A 22,419-nucleotide genomic window follows, 5' to 3' on the forward strand; every position below is an offset into this window, starting at 1 on the left:
TCCTTAGTACTGACAGACACTCCTCAGTCCTTATCTAACTGCACCTCTGAGAAAACACACTGCTTATCACTTCTTTTTCTTCTCGAAACATTCTCTTACCTTGACTTAAGTGATATCACATCCCCAATTTTCATTCTACCTGGAAAACCCTCTTTGGCTTACTGTGCAAATTCATCTTTCTCTCAAGATTCTGCACTAGGTCTCCCCCTTAACCTCCACACCTTCCCCAAATGATCGCCCACTCCTTCCATTTCAATCTGCATGTTGATTTATCCCAAATCTTGATTCTCTGCCCAGATCTCTCTGCAGATATGTATAACCCCTTGCCTTCTGTTACCTTTTCATTTGGACATTCCAAACACAATTCAGACTCAACAAGTCCAAAAATGAATACTTCACCCTGTAAAAATTGTTCCTCCTGTATCTATCTTAATGATAACACCATAAGCCCAACTACACAAGCCAGAAACATGGGTTATATCTTTAGACTTAAGCTATTTCTAAATTTCTCTTAAATCTGCCTGTCTTCTCTTCTTCAGGCCTACTGAGAAATTCCTTATGTCCAAGTATGTTCCTAGTCCCAACTGCCACAATCTATCACTACATTGCTTCAACAACCTCTAATCTTCAACCTTCCAATTCTCTCTCTATACTGTAATAATAAATTATCTTTTTAATACATAAATCTGATATTTCTCTTCAAATCTTTGTAAAACTTCCCTTCCCACTACACTTAAGAGCTTGGATTCTATCCTAACATGTTTTACAAAGCCCTTCAAAAACCAGGTCCTGCTAACCTCTCTTCAAACCCAATCACTCACAGTCTACGTTCCAACCATATTAAATCACTTTCAATTCCTTAAATATCCTATTCTCTTTGCCAGAAATATTTTTTCTTCCCCCTACCGCATCTCTACATTTGACTAACTCCTACTTACTCTTCAAGGTCCAGTCTACTCATCTCTACCTTGAGCAAGCAGGGGGAACAAAAAAACTTTCCATGGCCTTCAAAGTCTATCTGCTTCTAGAACGTTGTACCTTTATCACACTATTTCTAATTGCCTCTTTTTCTGTTTCCTCCACCGGATTGTTAGAGCAGGAACCATGTCTAACTTGATCTTTGTATCTCCAATGCCTAGCGAACAGGTATTCAATATTTATTGAGAAAAGGAAGGAAGGAAATTTTCCCAGAAACACCACAGTAGCACATCTTTCAAATCACAGCAGTATGTCATACTTAGGTAAGTAAATATATAAAAATAAGATCCACAAGAAGGATTTTCCTGTTGTCTACTGTCCCAGGACCTAGAACAGTGGCCATCACATAGTCAGTATAGCACTGTTAAACAAATGAATAAAACAGTGAATTACATTTCTAAAAGTTTATATAAATGTTATATTTGTATAATGAGCTTTCTAAATGCTCTTTTAATTTATATATAAGCATAAAGATACGGCAAGCAGTTAGTTTTACAAATCTCCTAATAATACATACAACCTATTCAACACTCCTCCCTTGAAAGTCTAGCTGGAATATATCATGTGGCTCCCTACCCATCTCTAGCTTCCTCCATCCCTGTTTTCCAGGGGATATCACTCTAGAATGGAGCACCTCGCCCCTCAGCTACTCCACCAGTCCCATTCCTGAAAGCTCAGCACTAACCTACCTCCAAGAAATTCATTCCATTTTGCATACTTGCCAACCTACTGTAAAAGTCACTGTCTGGCATAAACAAGGTATCCAATAACTTCTAGCTTTTCTAAAAGAAATTGCTGTCTGCTCTCTTTATAAAACCTGACTTTCTATTGGCAGCAGTTCCATTCCAATCCTTAGTCATTTCTGAGACTCACAGGTTACAGAAGTATCATGTTTTACCATATTTCTCAACCATCTCTCATGTTTTGTGCTATGTATTATTTGAAGCTCTTTAAACATTAATTCATTTAATCTTGTAAATGACTCTATGAAGCAGCAGGTACTATTTTTAATCCTACTTTTTGATGAGGAAATGAGGCACAGAACTGTCAAATAATTTTCCCAGGCTACATAGCAGGTGGTAGAACTTGAAACTATGCTCCAAACCACAGTACACACTGATTCTCACTTCCGTACTTGTTGCTATATTCCACTAACATCTGAATATATTCATAATTTGCTTAATGACTTCAGCACCCAGATCATTCAATATGCTTCTCCCCCACTCCATTATCATCCTTTGGAATTCATGCTCTGATGGCATTTATCCTATAGCATTCATTCACAATAAAACCTTTTTACCATGTAAGCTTAACAGCGCTTCTCCTCCTGTGACCTCCATCTTAATTCTATGGAAAGCCACCCATGAGCAAGGTCAACCCTTAAAACTGTTCCACCTCTAAAATCCAAAACACATTTACCTCCCCAAGTAGGAACTACCCTTCAAGCTCTTTCCTAAGATAAATCTGCTCTTCATTTTCACTGGTGTTCTCAAATCCTTTAAATCCTACCAGATACCCAATTTCATTGCTCCATTCCCACTCTATTTGCCTCTCTACTCAGTGTGGTAAGCCATTTTCAAAAATGTGTTTGGAAATACCTCAGATCATCAATGCTTGCCAGAAGTCATTGCTATTCTGTGACAAAATTTTCTAGTCATGGACAACGTAGAAAAGAACTTTTAAAGCTAAATTTATTCCATTTTAAAATGTGTCCTTTATTCTGAGATTATTTTATTCCATTTTGTCAAAACAGCCTTTCCTTTATGAAATGATAAAAACAGATATAACAGAGGTTGTTTTGTTTTTGGATGTCTTTATTCAGCAAAATTAAAAAATGTAATTCTAGGTCAGTTTTTATACCCAGCCCTTTTCCCTGTCCACACGGCCCGCCCCTCTCAAATAGATATACATTTTCTTGTATTGGTCCACAAAATCTAGTTAGAAGCCGTTACACAAGATTCCTTTGCCCACTGGTTGGTGCTGCTATTCATACCTTGACAATCTCCAGTACTATGTCTGTTTTCTTTGATGTCTCTCCTTAAACTGTCTTGAATATTAAAAAACAAAACAAACATAAATAAACTCCAGAAAGTCACTGATAACAGCTGGAGCTAAGACAAGACAGTTGTCCCTCAGTATCCATGGGGTATTGGTTCCAGGACCTCCCTTGGATATCAAAATTCTCAGATGCTCAAGTCACTGACATAAAATGGTGTAGTTTTTGCATATAACCTATGCACATCCTCTTGTATACTTTAAATGATCTTTAGACTACTTATAAAACCTAATATAATGTAAATGCTATGTAAATAGTTGTACTGTTTAGGAAATAATGAAAAGAAAGAAGTCTGTAAGTATTCAGTACAGACACAATACTTGTTCAGTAGGCATGCAATTTTTCCTTCTTGAATATTTTCAATCTGCAACTGGTTGAGTCCACAGATGCAGAATCCACAGATATGGAGGGGTGACTGTATTTTGAAAAACTTCCTAAGACATAAGAGACTCCCTTTCAGGTTGGAACACAGACATTATCAACACTCACTGTAAGTAAAGTCACACAGCCTATATTTCATCATTGTATCCATCTGAATATAATGAGACTATTAAATGCTTTACCAAAATTAAAATACAGAATTCATGAACTTTTTATAGTCTGCTCAGTTAAGTTTAATTCTCCAAAGAAAAATGAAGACAAAAGTTATTTCCTGCTACCCAAGTTTTGAGTTAACTTCTATTTTTAATACATATTTGGCAATATGAGAAAAATTTAATTGGTTAATACATATGGCCAAGTTGCAGTCTGAACTGTGTCAACTCACAATTTGATACGTTGAACAAGATATGTTGAAGTCTCAACCTCTGGTATCTATGAATGGGCCTTATTTGGAAATATTTGAGTCTTTCAGATATAACTAATTAAGATGAGATCATACTGGATCAGGGTGCTCCAAAATCTGAGACTGGTGTCCTTTTAAGAAGGCCATGTGAAGACACAGAGAAACACAAGGGAAAATGCCATGTGAAAACAAAGGCAGAGACTACAGTGATGTGTCTACAAACCCAGGCATAGCAAGGATTGCCCAGAAGCCAGGAAGAGTCAAAGAAGGATTCTTTCCTAGAGTCTTCAAGTCTTGCTGACACCTTGATTTCAGACTTCTAGCCTCCAGAACTGTGAGAGAATAAATTTCTTTTGTTTTAAGCCTCCCAGCTTATAGTAAGTTGTTACAGCAGCCCCAGGCAACTAATACAGGCAATATAATTCAGGCCATCGCTGAATATCAGAAATAAAAGGTAAAACTACAACCTATCTGTAATTTTAAATTACTTGATTATATTGCATTAGAATACTTTACAATAAAAAACATTTTATAAGATAGCTTAGCTTTACTTTGCAAATACTAGATAGCAACCCCCCAACCCCCTCAATTGTACTTATTTTTACCTTAAAATTTGGACCTTTTACAACAGAGTTAAATATTATGTTTGTTTACCCCAACATAATTCAAATAAACCTAATGACATTCTAAGTGACAGAAAGGTTTACTTGGAAGCCAAGGAAGACAATATAAATGTGAGTTTATAATCAGAAAACCCTGATTACCTAGGCACTTACTAGTTGTGTGACAAGTGTGGAAAGATACTCAACTTCTTAGAATCCTCTCTCCATAATTTTATTTTAAAAGATGGGCAGCAGGACATAATGGCTACCTCACAGTGTTAAGATAAAAATGAGGCATGTAATATCTATTTCTAATTCTCTGAAAAAAAGCAAAGATTTGTAGGATATTTGAGATTTAGTTGTTAAAGTCTTTGAGGAAAGTGGGAGAGTATGTGAGGTTAGTTGACAATCTCCTGAAGTTAGGATGGCATAAACTGATAAGACTAAAAGTTAAGAGAGACTATAGAGTGATAACAGAATAACCTTAAAAGTGCCTAGTAGCAATGTGAAGCAAGGACAAGTATAATCCTCCTCAAAGAACAACTAGACTATAGTAGCTCTCAATAAAAGTATAGAAAATTAAAGTTAAAAAGTATTAAGGAAAAGGTCAGGGACACATGAAATATATTTACAATAGAATGAATGTTCTCAAAAGCAAAGAGTATGGGGGTTAATAAGGCACTCAGAGGGTAGATCTGAGCCACACTACAACGTGACTATATAGAGCAATAGAAAGGAAGAACTTATGCTTTAGTCATTAAAAGAGGATAATAATTTAAGAAAACAAGCAACTGGATAATGGGAGTTTAAGGACACATTAACCACACCAATCAGAGTGTTTAATCAATCTGGAGTTCAGAAAGATATTATTTTAAACAATATCTTCTTCAGTCTACATTTTGACTAAGTAACAAGGCAACATTTGTAACTACAGATGTTAGAAAATGAAAATAAAAAATAACAAGAGCTAACATGCATTGAGTGTTTACTGTGTGCCAGGTATTGTTCTAAATGCTTTGTATGTTTCAACACATTCAATCCTCACAACCTTCCTATGAGTTAAGTATCATTATTTCATTTGGCCGATGAAGGAACTAAGGCACAGAGAGGTTAAATAATTTGACCACTATGACATTAAGAGGCAGAATTACAATAAATATTGGGAAACTATTAAATAGGATTTTTAGCAGGCACTGACTGCCTAAAAGTAACTTCTGGTAAAGAAAAAAAAAATAGCCATTTCTTTCACTTAAATCATCAATCCCCAAAGAAAGAAAATGTGTGGGTGGTTGTTGTTGTTTCCCTAACTCTCGTTGTTCCAGACTAGGCCTGATTTCCTTTGAGAGATCTTTCAAACTTGATATATTTTTATGATTTGTACCAGGAAGCCATTATAACACGCAACTGTATACTAAAGTTCACCATCATTTAAAAAAAAAAAAAAAATCCTCCTCTCTCTATCCATCCCTGCACCGCCAACCCCCACCCTCCCAAAAAATCAGAATTTTTTTCCTCATGTTTTCCACTAGAACTGGCATAATTACAACAACTTAAAGATATCAACAAACAAATTAGGTAAATAACCATGTCTTTTTTCAGTGAACAAGCCAGGCTCATTCTTTATAATTGCTGTATACTGGAGTCCAATGTATCAGGCTAGGCAATTAACTGAAATACTGAATTACAACTTCAAATGAATAAATCCTGTTTTTAACTGTAACTTTCATTGCTTCTGAAAACCAGTCTGGCAACATTTTAACAGCTATTATGCCACTTTGTCTTTAAGTCTCGGGGGCACTAAAATATAAAAGTTATTTAAACGTGTTTTCTCAAACAATGACCTGTCAACTCTATATACTACAGATAAACAAGGCTATTCTCCACCACGAGTTGACACGTTGCCTTCGGAAGGTTTCCTGCGCCGAGGAAAAGTAGTGACAGTCGAACCTGTCTCTCAGCATCTCGCCCTCCCCCGCCCCCTTCTCATTTTCCGAAGCACTGTGCGAAACTCCTTCCGGGCAAGGCCAAGACTCTTAAAGAGACAGAGGGCAACGTGCTGCCACGAATGTGGCATTTGTCTGAATGGGGGTAGGGAGTCTGACATCCGGGAGGACTGGGACTCGACCGATTGGGATCCTACTCGCCTGCGGACTGGAGAAACCACCTGGGAACCGGGCACTGTGACAAGCAAAGGGTCAGAATCAGGTGCGATCGAGGAAGCACCTGAACTCCTTCGAGTTGCAGGATAGCACACAAGCACCCGGACCTGGCAAAGGGAAGCTCCCAGTAGCATCGTTGCCTAGGGTCCTGCCAGTAACGCCCCCGTGGGAGGTGGAGCGGCTTCTCCGTCCGACCGGCTCTCTAGAGATCAATGAAGACAGGAAGCCAAGCCCATGACAGGCTCCCAGTTCCCTCAATTGCATTTACGCCCTAAACAGCCCTGGAACAACCGAGGGAACAGCACCCAGCGGTGTTTCAGTATTTTACCTTGTGTTATGGTCCCAGCCTACCGCCATGTTTCACAGAAGCCCGGGTCGCCGGGGCTCCCGCGTACCCGGAAATATCGCGAGAACAAAAGCGACTATCACAGCTGAAAACGTCAGAAAAGAGACAATGTACAGATCTCGCGATATTCCCTTTGCTTACGACGTGCTTAGGGAATGAAGAGGCGTGGTTAAGATAAAAGAGGCGTGCCTACAGGGAAATGAGGTTGCAACTTGTTTTAGGTGTAATCGCGCCGCCAGTCCGGTTCTGTTTCTATGGGAAGGGAGGGGTTACTTTCCGACTAACACTGAGACTGCAGAACGAATCTCAGCTCCTCACACCGTATTTCATTACTAATAAGAGCCTTGGGCGCAGAAATTATCCCTAACAACCCTAATGCATATCACCTGTGCAATTGTTTTGTTTCCCTCTTTCAGTTTTTGTGTCGTTTTCCCCTGACAAGAACATTTGAGCTTCCTTTTCCGCCATAGGTAACGCTTTTTATTATTTGATCAGCGTTTTTATTGTCTTCCAGGTTTTAATATCATAAGAAAGCACATATGTCTTCCTCATCTCCCTTCGCCAACACCAACTATGCCTTCAAATATTTGTTAAGAAAGAAAATTAATACCTCATCTTTTTCTACCACTTCATAGAACAGGAGTTAATAGACGGAACTTCGGAAAGAAAAGTTAAATGTGAACTCCTGGAGAGTAAACCCATTCCAGGTTCCTTTTCACCCATCTGTTACCAGATTTTATAATCAAACATTGAGATTTAAATTTTCTGATTCATTGACCTAGAAGTCTAACAACGGCATAATTATGACAACTGCTTATAATTACTGTTTAAAGGCTTTAACTGCTTTTTTAAAAAATCTGCGTATCCTCACAACACTCTTAGAAGATAATACCAGTATTTACCTGTTTTATAAATACGGAATTTGAGTCAAGGGGTAGTGAAGTGATTTACCCAAATTCAGACCGCTGGGAGAGTCAGGGAAATCTTGATCACAATACTAAACTGTGCCTCAAAGGAAAAAAATCACATTGTTTTATGTAGTGAATTAACCTTTACTGAAATACTAAATTTCACTAAATTGAATATCCCCCAAAATAAGGACTGATGAAAAGTTTCCAATGAATCAATTTTATTTTCAGACTTTCAGAGTTAGTCTAATTAAATCAATTTAAAGTTCTCACTTTCTTGACATGCTTAAGAAGTATAGTGTAGTGGGTGAAATCATAGACACTGGAGACAGGACTTCCTGGGTTAGAATTCCAGATCAGCAACTTACTAGCATGTAACCTTGACCACATTATTTCATCTCTTTGTGTCTCCATTTGCTCATCTGTAAAATGGGCATGATAATATCTCAGAGTTGTTACGAGGATTAAGTAAATTAATATACATCTAAAATGCCTTTTTTTAATCTTTGCCGTAAAGGCATCAGCAACTCTTCCTTCTTTGTGAATATGGGCTCTTGCTTGGATGGAGGCTGGCTGTTGTTCACTTAGTTACATCTGATCCCTCATCTCCTGGATAACCTACTTTCAGGGTAACAACTATCCCATGAGAGTTGGATTTCCCAGTGTAGCAAAACTGACTAATTTGATCCTTCTTATTTAGAAAACAACTCACCATTTTCTAATCTACCCAGTGAAGAGGGAACTTAATTTCCCCTGAAGATTGAAACTCTCGGGCTGCAGCTAAAGCCGCATTCTTTTCATTAAAGGCCAGGGTTTGATCTAACAGTAGCACGACATCTCTGCAAGCGAGGTCAAAGGTTTGCCCTAGACCCTGTAGGACATCTATGTACCTATCAGGATCATCTTTAAAAAGAGATAGATACTTAATCTTGTGTTATCAGTGGCGTTATGTCTGAAAAACAATTTGCTTTAAAAAGTCCATTATGTATTACCCGCATAAGATAGGTTTTAGACTGAGATTAATAATTGTTCCATAACAACCTGTATTTAGTAAAGATGATCAAAAGGTGTTTTTGTGCCATTTTTTTCTTTCTCTAGTTCGATTGAATAATTCATGGGCTTTTTTCTAATTCTCCTTAGTCCTTCTAGAACACAGGTCAACAGATGTTTATGACTTCAGTCCCCATGATCTGAGTCAAGGTCCCAGTGGGGATCCATACTGGGGATGGCTTGCTGACCAGTCGGGAATTTGTCCCTTTCTTCGGCTGTCATTCTGTCATTTACTTGACTAAGATACCAGGTATCTCCAAACTCTTGGGCTGCAGCTAAAGCCGCATTCTTTTCATTAAACGCCAGGGTTTGATCTAACAGTAGCATGACATCTCTCCAAGTGAGGTCAAAGGTTTGCCTAGACCCTGTAGGACATCTGTGTACCTATCAGGATCATCTGAAAACTTCCCCAGGTCTGCCTTGATCTGCTTTAAATCAGAGAGGGAGAAGGGGACATGTACCCGGGTTGGGCCAAATACCCCTCCCGCTATAGCTTGAAGGGGACATAACCAATAGCCCGGGGTTTTTTGTGGTCCTTTGGAGATTTCCTTGCTTGTTTCCTTCTGGCCAGGGGAGATTAGAGGAGGATTATCATTAATAGGAAGGGGAGCTATAGGGAGGCTAGGATATGGGGATAAGCTGAGAGATCCTCCTGTGGGATATAAATTGTAAGCTTTGCATAGTTGTGTATTCTCCCTCAATGAAAATAAAGCTTGGACATGAGGTATTTCACTCCATTTGCCTTCCCTCTTACAGAAAAGATCAAGCTGCAGGATAGTATTGTAATTTGTACTTCCCTCAGGTGGCCATTTTTCCCCATCAGAGAGAGAATATTGGGGCCAAGCCGTAGTGCAGAAAAAAATGAGCCGCCTCTTTTTCAGGGTTTGTGGGTCAAATTGGTCCCAATGGCTTAGGATGCATTTCAAGGGTGAGCCTGTTGATGCCTGAGTGTTTCCCATCTGAAAGACAAAACTGCCGCGTTTTGGTTTATTTTGTTTCTCCCCCTGCCCAAGAACCTACAACGGTCCCTGGACCCTGCTGATCAGAATAGTTGCGCTCACCAACACAGCAGCAGAAACAACCCCTGCCCAAGAACCCGCAACAGTCCCTGGACCCTGCTGATCGGAATAGTTGCGCTCACCAACGCAGCAGCAGAAACACTAGTTTTCCTCCCAGACCACATGGAGGACCAAGGAAAGTCAGATTTAGCGGTCCTTACCGACGCATTCTCGAAAACCTGCACCCTTGCCTGTCCTCCTAGGCCACAAGGGGGACCAACTGAGAAAAATCGATTTAGTGGCCCTTACCGACGCATTCTCGAAAAGCTGTTAGAGTCCTAAGCATTCTCCTGTTAGTACTGGGACTTTACCCCTGTCCTATAAAGATGTTATGCCCCAAAAATGAAGTGGAGGGCCATACCCTGAGGGAGGGAAGGGATCTCCAGGTTTGGAAGAGTGACACCTTTTGTCCTCACTTATATGAATAGGAAGGATATAATTTCTGAGGCTCCCCATATCCTAGCTTCAGGAATAGCTTTTGTTAGGCCTGTTAGTCTGAGGAGGGATCCTAAAATTCCAGGTAGTCCCCACTACGATGGGGCTTTGGGCAAAAATTATGTCTTTCTGATTGGTGAGCCCGGGTGCCTAAAGAAGGTAACAGAGTCCTGGAGTTTATACTAGAAATCATTCTTATAGGAGAAACTAGAAAAGCACCAGAGACGGTAGCAATTTTTAGAAGCGGGACTAACCTCAGAGAAGAGAGGCAAGAGGAAGTTTGTCTGACAGGCATTAGGACCCAGGGGGCAAGGGTCAGGATAGATAGGATAGATGGGCGAGTCTCGCTTGGGCGACATGCTTTTGAGAGTTCTGCTCATGGCCGCAGGGTCAACCAACTTGTTGTCGGGACCCCAGAGCTGCATGGCTTTCCTCTCTGTCGACCCTCGGCTCAGCCCAGAAGTACTGGAAAAGCAGAAGCTGGTTCTAGGGAAAACAATGGTCCCAACTCCGAAGAGTCGGGGGTTGTTATAGAGCCCTTTCCCAGAAAACCTGACACCCGTGTCTTTAGTCCGGTGGCCACGCTAGTCGCTTTTAACTGGCCAACAGGTGCCCGGTATTTAGCCCCCAAATTCTAAGGAAAGATAGGACAGAATAGCAAGCTAAAGGGGTCCGATGGTACTCACTGCTTGGCAATAGGTGATTGTCTCACCGCTCAGCAATAGGCGATGGTCTTACTGCTTGGTGATTGGCGAAGGTCCCATCTGGGTCGCCAAAATGTGTCTGGAATTGGTGGGTTCTTGGTCTCACTGACGTCAAGAATGAAGCCGCGGACCCTCGCCGTGACTGTTACAGTTCTTAAAGGCGGCATGTCCGGAGTTTGTTCCTTCTGATGTTCAGATGTGTTCGGAGTTTCTTCCTTCTGGTGGGTTCATGGTCTCGCTGGCTCGGGAGTGAAGCTGCAGACCTTTGCGGTGAGTGTTACAGCTCTTAAAGGCAGTGTGGACCCAAAGAGTGAGCAGTAGCAAGATTTATTGCAAAGAGCGAAAGAACAAAGCTTCCACAGTGTGGAAGGGGACCCGAGCAGGTTGCCACTGCTGGCTCAGGCAGCCTGCTTTTATTCTCTTATAAGTCCCCACCTACATCCTGCTGATTAGTAGAGCCAAGTGGTCTGTTTTGACAGGGCACTGATTGGTGCACCTACAATCCCTGAGCTAGACACAAAGGTTCTCCACATCCCCACCAGATTAGCTAGATACAGAGTGTCCACACAAAGGTTCTCCAAGGCCCCACCAGAGTAGCTAGATGCAGAGTGTCGATTGGTGCATTCGCAAACTCTGAGCTAGACACGGTGCTGATTGGTGTGTTTACAAACCTTGAGCTAGATACAGAGTGCCGATTGGTGTATTTACAATCCCTGAGCTAGACATGAAGGTTCTCCAAGGCCCACCAGAGTAGCTAGATACAGAGTGTCGATTGGTGCATTCACAGACCCTGAGCTAGACACAGGGTGCTGACTGGTGTATTTACAATCCCTGAGCAAGACATAAAGGTTCTCCACATCTCCACCAGACTCAGGAGCCCAGCTGGCTTCACCCAATGGATCCCGCACCTGGGCTGCAGGTGGAGCTGCCTGCCAGTCCCACACGGTGCGCCGGCACTCCTCAGCCCTTGGGTGGTCGATGGGACTGGGCGCCGTGGAGCAGGGGGCCGCGCTAATCTGGGAGGCTCGGGCCGCACAGGAGCCCACGGAGGGGGTGGGAGGCTCAGGCATGGCGGGCTGCTGGTCCCGAGCCCTGCCCCGCGGGAGGGCGGCTAAGGCCCGGCGAGAAATCAGCACAGCACCGGTGGGCTGGCACTGCTGGGGGACCCAGTACACCCTCCGCAACCACTGGCCCGGGTGCTAAGCCCCTCACTGCCCGGGGCCGGCAGGGCCGGCCGGCTGCTCCAAGTGTGGGGCCTGCCAAGCCCATGCCCACCGGGAACTCCAGCTGGCCCGCAAGCGCCGCGCGCAGCCTCGGTTCCCGCTGGGGCCTCTCCCTCCACACGTCCCTGCAAGCTGAGGGAGCCGGCTCTGGCCTTGGCCAGCCCAGAAAGGGGCTCCCACAGTGCAGCGGTGGGCTGAAGGGCTCCTCAAGTGCCGCCAGAGTGGGAGCCCAGGCAGAGGAGGCGCCAAGAGCGAGCGAGGGCTGTGAGGACTGCCGGCACGCTGTCACCTCTCAATAGGTTTCAGACTGAGATTAATAATTGTTCCATAACAACCTGTATTTAGTAAAGATGATCAAAAGGTGCTTTTGTGCCATTTTTTTCTTTCTCTAGTTTGAGTAAAAGTTTCAGCAAGTGAGCAGCAAAATTTAGATAAACTAATAAATGAATAATTTTTACAATGGAATGCCCATAAGCACCTCAAAGTCAGCACATCCAAAATGGATTTTTTTTTGTCTTTTTTTTGAGACAGAGTCTAACTCAGTTGCTCAGGCTGGAGTGCAGTGGCGCGATCTCGGCTCACTGCAACCTCCACCTCAAGCAATTCTGGTGCCTCAGCCTCCTGAGTAGCTGGGACTACTGGCATGAGCCGCCATGCCTGGTTAATTGTGTGTGTGTGTGTGTGTGTGTGTGTGTGTGTGTGTGTGTGTGTGTATTTTCAGTAGAGATGGGGTTTCATCATGTTGCCCAGGCTGGTCTGGAACTCCTGCCCTCAAGTGATCTGTCCCCACCATGGCCTCCTTAAGTCCTGGGATTACAGGTGTAAGCCACCGTGCCCAGTACCCAAGTGGATTTCATAATTTATCTCCAAATCTATTTCTTCTCCTCTGTGCCTAGAAAAGTCAATGGCACCATTAACCTCAAACTTAACCAGGTTAGAATTTTTGTGTCTCCTCCACCTTTTCTCTAGCTGCCAATCCCAGTGACCCATCAGTTTTATTCATGAGGCTATTCCCGATCTCATGCTATACACCAGGCCTTCATTATCACTTGCTTCAACCACAGGTGATCCTCAGTGATATAGTCTGATTTTAAATTTACATTTTCAAACATTGTAGTTTACTCTTTCAAATCATTTTTTTTTTCATATGCCAAGTTGGGACTTGAAAGTCTTTTTTTTTTGACAGAGTCTCACTCTGTCCCCCAGGCTGGAGTGCAGTGACACAATCTCGGCTCACTGCAACCTTCACCTTCACCTCCTGGGTTCAAGCGATTCTCCCGCCTCAGCCTCCCAAGTAGCTGGGAGTACAGGCACCCACCACCCCATCAGGCTAATTTTTGTACTTTTAGTAGAGGCGGGGTTTCACCGTATTGATCAGGCTGGTTTCGAACTCCTGACCTCAAATAATCCACCCACCTTGGCCTCCCAAATGCTGGGATTATAGGAGTGAGCCATGGCGCCTGACCTTAAAAGTCTTATATCACTTTTTCACATGACAAGTTTAGATTTCATAATCAGCTGATGAATAAATACTTTCAGTCCATGCACAGTCTGTGCCATCTGATACCTCTGTTTCAGCAAGGTAATCACTTCTATCTATAAAGCATTGTTTGTGCAATATTTTAATAGGATTAATAGGCTCAAATGAACCACAGATCTGTCAACTGAACTTGCAGTCTGGCCACTCTTGTAACAAATATTCATTTCATTAAGCACCTTTAATATGACAAATGATGTGCTAAGTACCAAGTACTTTGTCATAGTGACAAAGCAGACACTCTTACCCTCATGGAATTTGTACTATATATTGTGGGTAAAAAGGGATCCAATAAATAAACTCCCCAAAAATATATGGCTGGTGTTATTTATCTTGATAGGTGTTAGTACATAGTCTTAATAATTATCAATAATATATTACTATATGTATTTAACATATTGTACCGTAGGCCCAATATCTTTCAGTGCAAAAATACTCAGCTGAAATACGTTTTTCATTTCAAATACTTATCTATATTGATTACAACATTCTAATTTAGTGTTTTACTTTCCATTTCCAAATATTCTTTCATCAATATTATCTGTTCTTCTTTTCATCATAAATGTATTTATTTCATCTATTAGTATTTTCTATAATCTATATTTTAAGTCATTTCAGCTCTTTTTATATTTCTTAAACCTTTTAAAAGCATAATTGTATGCTAAAAGTGGGTGAGGTTTTAAAACTAAGTGCCTAAGACATAATATAAATATTTTATTGTTCTCTATTACATTAAAAAGTGGTAACCTATTTAATTCACATGCTATGGTCAAATTTTAATTTCAATAATATGACACAAATAAATACTCAGAAATGCTGACAAATCTTATCACCTGTGAAACTCAAATGTTTTCAGGGGTCATGAAGATAGCATACTTGTCTCATCCAATGACTTTCAAATTCATCCTTCTTTAAAATGTTGTGCTGGACTTTGGAGACACAAATGTGGCCTTCCAGAGTGACAGGCCTTATAACAATCCTTGTAACAATTACTACTTTATTTTTACCTGTTAATATTTATATATTAATAAACCCAACTGAACCTAAGAGAATATCTAAGACAAGTACATTTGTGTATGTGTGTGCCTTCATGTATGTGATTTTTATGTACATGATGAACTGTCTTAATTATAAAGAAAAGGAAAAAAACATGATGCTATGAGAAAAAAATGAACATTCAACTGAGCAGAGCAGAAGATATTTTTATATTTCCTGATACAAAAATCTAACTTCAGTTCCGGTCTGGCAGAGAGCGCGGAGAGACGCAGAACGCAGCCAGCTCCTCCAGGGCCCTCCAGGCCCTCCGGACCCGGGCCGGCGGGTGAACTGGGGGGCCCCGGGACAGGCCGAGGCCTCTGCCCTGCAGATACCGGAGGCCTCTGCTGTGGCTGCCCACTGGCTGTGCCCAGGCCTTGAAGCCGCAGCGAACCTCTCTTTCCCACCCCACCTGGATGACTGATGGCGGCGGCTGCGTCTCCCCGACGGGACCCCGCCGGCCGCCGCGTCTCCCGACCCAAGCCTGCCGGGCCTCGACGAAACCCCCGCAGAGTCGCTGGGACGCAGCGCCTTTGGGCGGCGCCGGGCGTGGTGGGCCGGAAAGTATGGCGGCCGCTTGAACGCCGCGCGGCGGAGGCCATTAAGGCGTGGAGGGCCCGGGAAGGCGGCCTAGGGACGCAAGCAGGCTCGGCCACCTCTTTAGGCCACGGAGCCGCGCAGATCCGGTTCCCGGGTGACCACTCTGTCGCCATTGGGCGAGACCGACCTAGTCCTGACGACAACGGACAAAGGCCTTCAGGGGCCTGGAAGGTGAGTGAAGTCCCGAAAGACGACGGGTGGAACGGTTAGCGGCTATCGGGCGGTTGGTCTTTGTTCTACCAGACTTTGCTGTCAGAAGAGAGAAATGGTAGAATGACAGGCCACGTTTGGCCCGTTGGAAATGCCCACCACCCTCTGGGAAGATTTACTGGCCGTTTATGTAAGGCCTGTGTATATAATATGAAAAAGCTGCTCTCAACTTCACCCCAACCTTTTAATAGAAAACATTTGTCACATCTAGCCCTTCTAGATGGAAAGAGGTTGCCGACATATGATAAAATAGAAAGTCACACATCTTGTAAATTCTCATTTGTTTAAAAGAAATCATAGAAAACACATGTCTTCTGGAGATGACTTTTAGAAATGGAGTTGTTAAGACGGCCTCTGGAAGCGATACGTCCACGTTTGTTAAGTGGGTTAGATGACATGGAGGTGGAAGACCTGAGAAGGAAGAGAAGAAGGTTCTGTGCTAGACTGGTCATATTTAGAAGACATTTTCATATTCTATCCATTGTTTTGTGTGCATTTTATTCTTCACTACTGTGTATATAGTTGACAATGCTAAGCTTTTTTGAAATGTCTATTCTTTTTAGATGTTCTGAAGTGCCTGATATGTTAAAATTAGAGGTAGCAAAATCACATTTTGTAAATACCTTTTTGTTACAAATCATAGGAAATGTTTTTTGGGGGGAATGGCCAAATCACCTGTTGAGTAATGCTCATTGTGCAGTGTGGTTCAGGGGAAGAGAGAGGAGGGGGAGGTGCAGAGAGCTCTATGACATCCTGTTTACAGCGAGGCAAGATGAATCATTATCTCTGTGCGTTTTGTTTTACTTATCTGTGTATATAGTGTACATAAAGGACAGACGAATCCTAATTGACAACATCTAGTCTTTCTGGATGTTAAAGAGGTTGCCAGTGTATGACAAAAGTAGAGTTAGTAAACTAATATATTTTGTACATTTTGTTTTACAAGTCCTAGGAAAGATTGTCTTCTGAAAATTTGATGTATTCTGGGTTGATGGAAATGGGAAGGGTTCTAGGCCAGAATGTTCACATTTGGAAGACTCTTTCAAATTATAACTGTTTTTACATGTTTGCAGTTTATTCAAGACTGCTGTATACATAGTAGACAAATTAACTCCTTACTTGAAACATCTAGTCTATCTAGATGTTTAGAAGTGCCCAATGTATGTTAAATGTAGAGGTAGTAAAATACCACTTTGTAAATATCTTTTTGCTAAAATTCATAGGAAATACTTCTGGAAATTGAATTGTGAAGCCACCTTTGTGAGCAGTATAGTAATGTCTATACTTGTTCAATGGTTTAGAGGAAGTGGGAGGGAAGAAATTGCAAAAGGTAATATACTAGTGTGTTCATACTTGGACGTTTTCAGACACCATTTTTCTATATGTTTTGTGCATTTTGTTTTGCTCTGTATATAGTGTATATAATGGACAAATAGTCCTAATTTTTCAACATCTAGTCTCTAGATGTTAAAGAGGTTGCCAGTGTATGACAATGTAGTAAAATTAGCATATTTTGTACTCTTTGTGTTGAAATTCATACGAAAACTTGTCTTCTGTAAATGACTTTTGCATAGGAATTTGGTCAACCATCTCTAAGCATTACATGTGCCTGTACTTGTCCACTGGATTGAAGGCAGAGAAGGAAGGGAGGGGGGAATGATTCAAGGCCAAAATGGCCACATTTAGAAGATACCTCAGATGATAACCATTGTTATGTGTGTGCAATTTTATTTAACAGTGCTGTGTACGTGGTGGACAAGTTATATGAAATATCTAGTCTTTCTAGATATTTGGAAGTGCTTGATGTATTTAAAAGTGGTAGTAGAATAACACTTTGTAAATAGCTTTTAAAAACTGATGGGAAATGCTGTTTGGAAGTGGAATTGTTGAACCACCTGGGAGGTGGGAGGGAAGAAATTGCAAATGGTGTTTTGACATTGTTTATTAACAAATTTCAGCTTAATCCATTGCCTATATGTTACATGCATTTCATTTAACTTTGCTATACTGTGTATATAATGGACAAATGAGTCCCGATTTTATAATATCTAGTCTCTAGATACTAAAGAGGTTGCCAATGTATGACAGAAGTAGAGTTAGTAAACTAACACATTTTGTACACTTTGTTAAAATTTGTAGAAAAGCTGTCTTGTGAAAAGGACTTTTGGAAGTGAGATAACATCAGCTCTAAGTGACACGTGCCTATATCCACCAGGTTGGTGGTGGAGAGGAGTTGGAAGGAATGAAGGGTTCTAGACCAGAATGTTCCTATTTAGAAGACACTTTCAGATATACCCATTGTTACATGTGTGTAGTTTATTCAACACTACTGTGTATATAGCGGACAAACTTAAGTCCTTATTTGAAACATCTAGTCTTTCTAGATGTTTAGAAGTGCACAAAGTATGTTAAAAGTAGAGGTAGTAAATAACACATTTTGTAGCTATCCTTTTGATATGAAATATTGTCTTGGAAATTGATCAATTCTCTGAGCAGTACACATTTTGATATTTGTGCTGGTTCAGGGGGAAGGAGGAGCACAAAGTGCAAAGGGCTTTCTACCAGTGTCCAGTGTGTTTATGAGGAGGCACATTGACCATTGTCCCTTATGTCTGCATTTTCATTTACTGTGCTGTGTATATAGTGTATATAAGTGGACAAAGGAGTCCTAATTTACATCCAGTCGACGTTAAAAAGGTTGCCAGTATATGACAAAAGTAGAATTAGTAAACTACTACATTGAGTACACTTTGTGTTAAAATTCATAGGAAAGACTTCTTAAAAACAGAAGTGAGATTGTTAAAATCCCCCCTAAGCATTACAGATGGCTTATAGCTGTCCACGGGGTTGGTAGAGGTGGGAAAGGGAAGGGTTCTAGGCCAGAATGTTCCTATTTAGAAGACACTCAAATTACAGTCTGTGTTATGTATGTATACCATTTATTCAATGCTACTGTGTATATAATGAAAAACTTAAGTCCAGTTTGAAACATCTAGTCTTTCTAGGTGTTTAAAAGTGTACAACGGCCTGTTGCAGTGGCTCATACCTGTAATCCCAGCACTTTGGGAGGCCGAGGCAGGCGGATCACGGGGTCAAGAGATCGAGACCATCTTGGCCAACATAGTGAAACCCCATCTCTATTAAAAATACAAAAATTAGCTGGTCGTGGTGGTGTCCACCTGTAGCCCCAGTTACTCGGGAGGCTGAGGCAGGAGAATCGCTTGAACTTGGGAGGTGGAGGTTGCAGTGAGCCGAGATCGCACCACTGCACTCCAGCCTGGCGACAGAGCGAGACTCCGTTTCAAAAAAAAAAAGTGCACAATGTAGGTTAAAAGTAGAGGGCTTAAGTAACACCCCTCTAAGCATTTGTTTTCAGTACTTCCTAGGAGTGGTTGCATTTGGGAATGGAATTGTTAAAAGGTGATGCTTAGGAGCGAATGCAGACTATTCATTAGGTGGTTGGGGCGGGGGAAGCGGGGGTGGGCAGAGGAGGTATGCAGGGAGAAGGGTTCTGTGCTCCTGAGATTAGTTCAGATGGTCTAAACATTGTTCTATATGTGCATTTTAGTTAATATTGTGTATTAAAGGATAAGTCTTAATGCTCAAAGTATGTTAAAAATAGATGTAGTAAATCAGTCCCTTTGTGAATGTCCTTTTGTTAGTTTTTAGGAAGGCCTGTCTTCTGGGAGTGACCTTTATTAGTCCACCTCTTGGAGCTAGACATCCTATACTTAGTCACTGGGATGGTGGAAGAGGGAGAAGAGGAAGGGTGAAGGGAAGGGCTCTTTGCTAGTATCTCCATATCTAGACGATGGTTTTAGATGATAACCACAGGTCTATATGAGCATTTTTAATAAAGTGCCTCTGTTCATTGTGGACAAAGTTATTGTTTTGCAACATCTAAGCTTTACGAATGGGGTGACAACTTACGATAAAAACTAGAGCTAGTTAATTAGCCTATTTGTAAATACCTAGCCTATTTGTAATATAATTACAAATTATGTAATTAGCCTATTTGTAAATATAATTGATAGAAAAGATGCATCTTGGACATGGAATTGTTAAGCCACCTCTGAGCAGTATATGTCAGGACTTGTTCATTAGGTTGGCAGCAGAGGGGCAGAAGGAATTATACAGGCAGAGATGTATGCAGATGTGTCCATATATGTCCATATTTACATTTTGATAGCCATTGATGTATGCATCTCTTTTGGCTGTACTATAAGAACACATTAAGTAATTCAAGGGAAATACACTTTGCTAATATTTTAATGGTGTAGCTCTGCTAATGCATTCTCTTAAAAACATACTTAGTGTATTCTGTTGCTGTGTGTTTCATTTTAAATTGAGCATTAAGGGAATGCAGCATTTAAATCGGAACTCTGCCAATGCTTTTATCTAGAGGCGTGTTGCCATTTTTGTCTTCTATGAGATGTTTGTCCCAAGAAAGGCAGGATTACTTTTTTTTTTTTTTTTTAGCAGTTTGAGTTGGTGTAGTGTATTCTTGGTTATCAAAATACTCATATAGCTTTGGGATTTTGAATTGGTAAATATTCATGATGTGTGAAAAATCATGATACATACTGTACAATCTCAGTCCCATGAAATTGGATGTTGTGCCTACTCACAGGATCTAGAAGCATATGTCAAACTATAAACTGCTTGTGATTGTGAATGACTTTGTTCTTTGCTTCTTGTGTTTTTTGGTTTCCTATAATGGACATATTAACTTTTAAAAAATAAAGGTTATTTTAAAAGGCTGAAAAAAAAATCTAACTTCAGTGTTGAACTAAAAAAGTGAAATAATTTCCATCCCAGACATGTGATATGTCCCAAAAGCAATTTTTATATCTTGTAAAAAAATACACAAGCAGCTAAATAACATAAATAATAGGCCCTCAGAGGTCAAACATTTTGACTAAAAATTATGAATAAATATATACCATACTGTTACTATTTACAGGACCTAACTTGACACATATGCTTTTTTTCTAAAGTTGTTTTTCAAAGTAAAAGATAAATATTGAGACAGCAAACATGAAGTTCCCCGTCTCTCTCTGGGTCTTGAAGGGAAAGAAGCTAGTGAGAGATAGACATTCCCCCTTGCCTTACATACACTTTTTCATGAACTAGACTTTGGGAGAGTAGATTTGGTCAGAAATTGATTTTCCTCTAATGGAGGGTAGTTAGGTTGGGGGAACCCCATTAAAGATCTGAGTCCTTTACACAGATTGGGACTTCAGCTTTGGTATCACATTTATCTTACAATGGTGATACTCTGTAACACATTTGATCCCCTTTGTCCCTCTCATAACAGTAGGCGAGGACAGCTGAGCCTTCATCAGGAGAAGCCACTAATATCATGCCTATCATAAGCCAAGTCCGTGCTTAATTTAAGTTACACATAGGAAACCATTAGAATCTTCCATTCTGGGGCAAGTTATGGAAAAATATGAGGCTAGGAAATTAGTACCTTTTCTACATTTTTCTTTTTGTCTATATGCTAAGCAAGTAGGCTTAATTCCATTGAACTGTGATTTGTTTGGGAAGAATTAAAAAGATTGTTAAAGTTTAAAAGGTGCTAGTGCTAGCAAAGGCCATAAATAACATTGTGGCTTCTGCTTGCCCTCCCCTGGGTCATCTCTTGTGGAAATCCAGCTGTTCTAGCGTAAGCACACTTAAGTCCAGTGGAGAGGCCCACATGGCAATGTATCTTTTTGCTTCAAACATTCCTGATGCAAAGTATAAAGTCACTGAGATTCCTGCCCCATAAGATGAGATTTCTTTTCCTCTGGAATTTTGTACAACTTTGTCCCTGGTGTTCTTAAGTTTTACAATGTCTCTGACATGGGTCTGTCTTCATTGTTGTGCTGGGCATCAAATGGCTCCTTGGTATGGCAACTCATGTCCTTTGGTTCTAGGAAATTGTCCTAATTTGTTTTCTTGATACTTTTCTCCCCTCCACTTTCTAGGCCTATCTCATAATTGAAACTGCTATTATTGTTATACAATGTTAACTGGAAGAAATGGAAAAAGGACAGCAGTGACATAATTATCCTTTTTCCTTTATACAACTATGATATTGTTTTTAATTAACACTATTTCTTCTTTTATTTCTAGAATAGATGACAAAAGTAAAATTAAAAGCAAGGTATGGCCAGGCACGGTGGCTCATGCCTGTAATCCCAGCACTTTGGGAGGCCGAGGCGGGCATATCACCTGAGGTCAGGAGTTCAAGACTAGCCTGGTCAACATGGCAAAACACCATCTCTATTAAAAATACAAAAATTAGCTGGGCGTGGTGGTGGATGCCTGTAATCCCAGCTACTCAGGAGGCTGAGGCAGGAGAATTGCTTGAACCCGGGAGGTTGGGACTGCAGCGAGCTGAGATGACGCCGTTGTACTCCAGCCTGGGCAAGAAGAGTGAAACTCTGTCTCAAATTAAAAAAAAAAAAAAAAAAGCAAGATATAATAATTAGAAATGTGGTAGAGACTTCTGGTTGCATATAAAAAAAACTCTCCTCTCTTTTTTGAACACCAGAATCCTAGAGATTAAACCCAAATGAAGAACTTGGGATTCCCAGACTTGGCAAAGCCATTTGTCCCCTTTTCTCCTTGACCTTCCTCTTCTCCCTGCTTGGAATATGATGTGATGACTTGAGCCCAGTAGCAATTTTATGATTTGAGAATTGAACTCATACATTGAAGATGGTGGAGGAGAAAGACAGAAAAAG

General features: G+C 41.0%; 1 protein-coding gene and 1 long non-coding RNA gene across 6 annotated transcripts in view, besides 1 other annotated feature; one reads left to right on the forward strand and one right to left on the reverse strand.

The window, feature by feature from the left end:
* The window catches only part of ERGIC2 (ERGIC and golgi 2), a 43,821-nt gene extending 36,856 nt beyond the window's left edge, over nt 1–6,965 (reverse strand). For 2 of the 3 annotated variants that reach the window (XR_001748741.3, NM_016570.3), the window contains exon 1: nt 6,908–6,965. The gene's annotated coding sequence lies outside the window, so the exon portion shown is untranslated. Of the gene's footprint in view, nt 1–6,261 lie in introns of all 3 variants that reach the window. The other variant, XM_024449009.2, reaches the window with a different exon arrangement.
* Nucleotides 6,528–6,697: an enhancer, noted in NCBI's record as "active region_6157". NCBI's record gives its function as "activates an Ori minimal core promoter by ATAC-STARR-seq in GM12878 lymphoblastoid cells {active_cell/tissue: GM12878}" and the evidence as "EXISTENCE:reporter gene assay evidence [ECO:0000049][PMID:35858748]".
* Nucleotides 6,966–15,086: 8,121 nt separating the features above from the next.
* OVCH1-AS1 (OVCH1 antisense RNA 1) overlaps nt 15,087–22,419 on the forward strand; it is a 98,031-nt gene continuing 90,698 nt past the window's right edge. For all 3 annotated transcript variants that reach the window (NR_073172.1, NR_073170.1, NR_073171.1), the window contains exon 1: nt 15,087–15,646. This is a non-coding gene — a long non-coding RNA (OVCH1 antisense RNA 1). The remainder of the gene's footprint in view (nt 15,647–22,419) is intronic.

Source organism: Homo sapiens, chromosome 12, assembly GCF_000001405.40.
Source record: "Homo sapiens chromosome 12, GRCh38.p14 Primary Assembly".
In the NCBI taxonomy this organism is placed as follows: domain Eukaryota; kingdom Metazoa; phylum Chordata; class Mammalia; order Primates; family Hominidae; genus Homo; species Homo sapiens.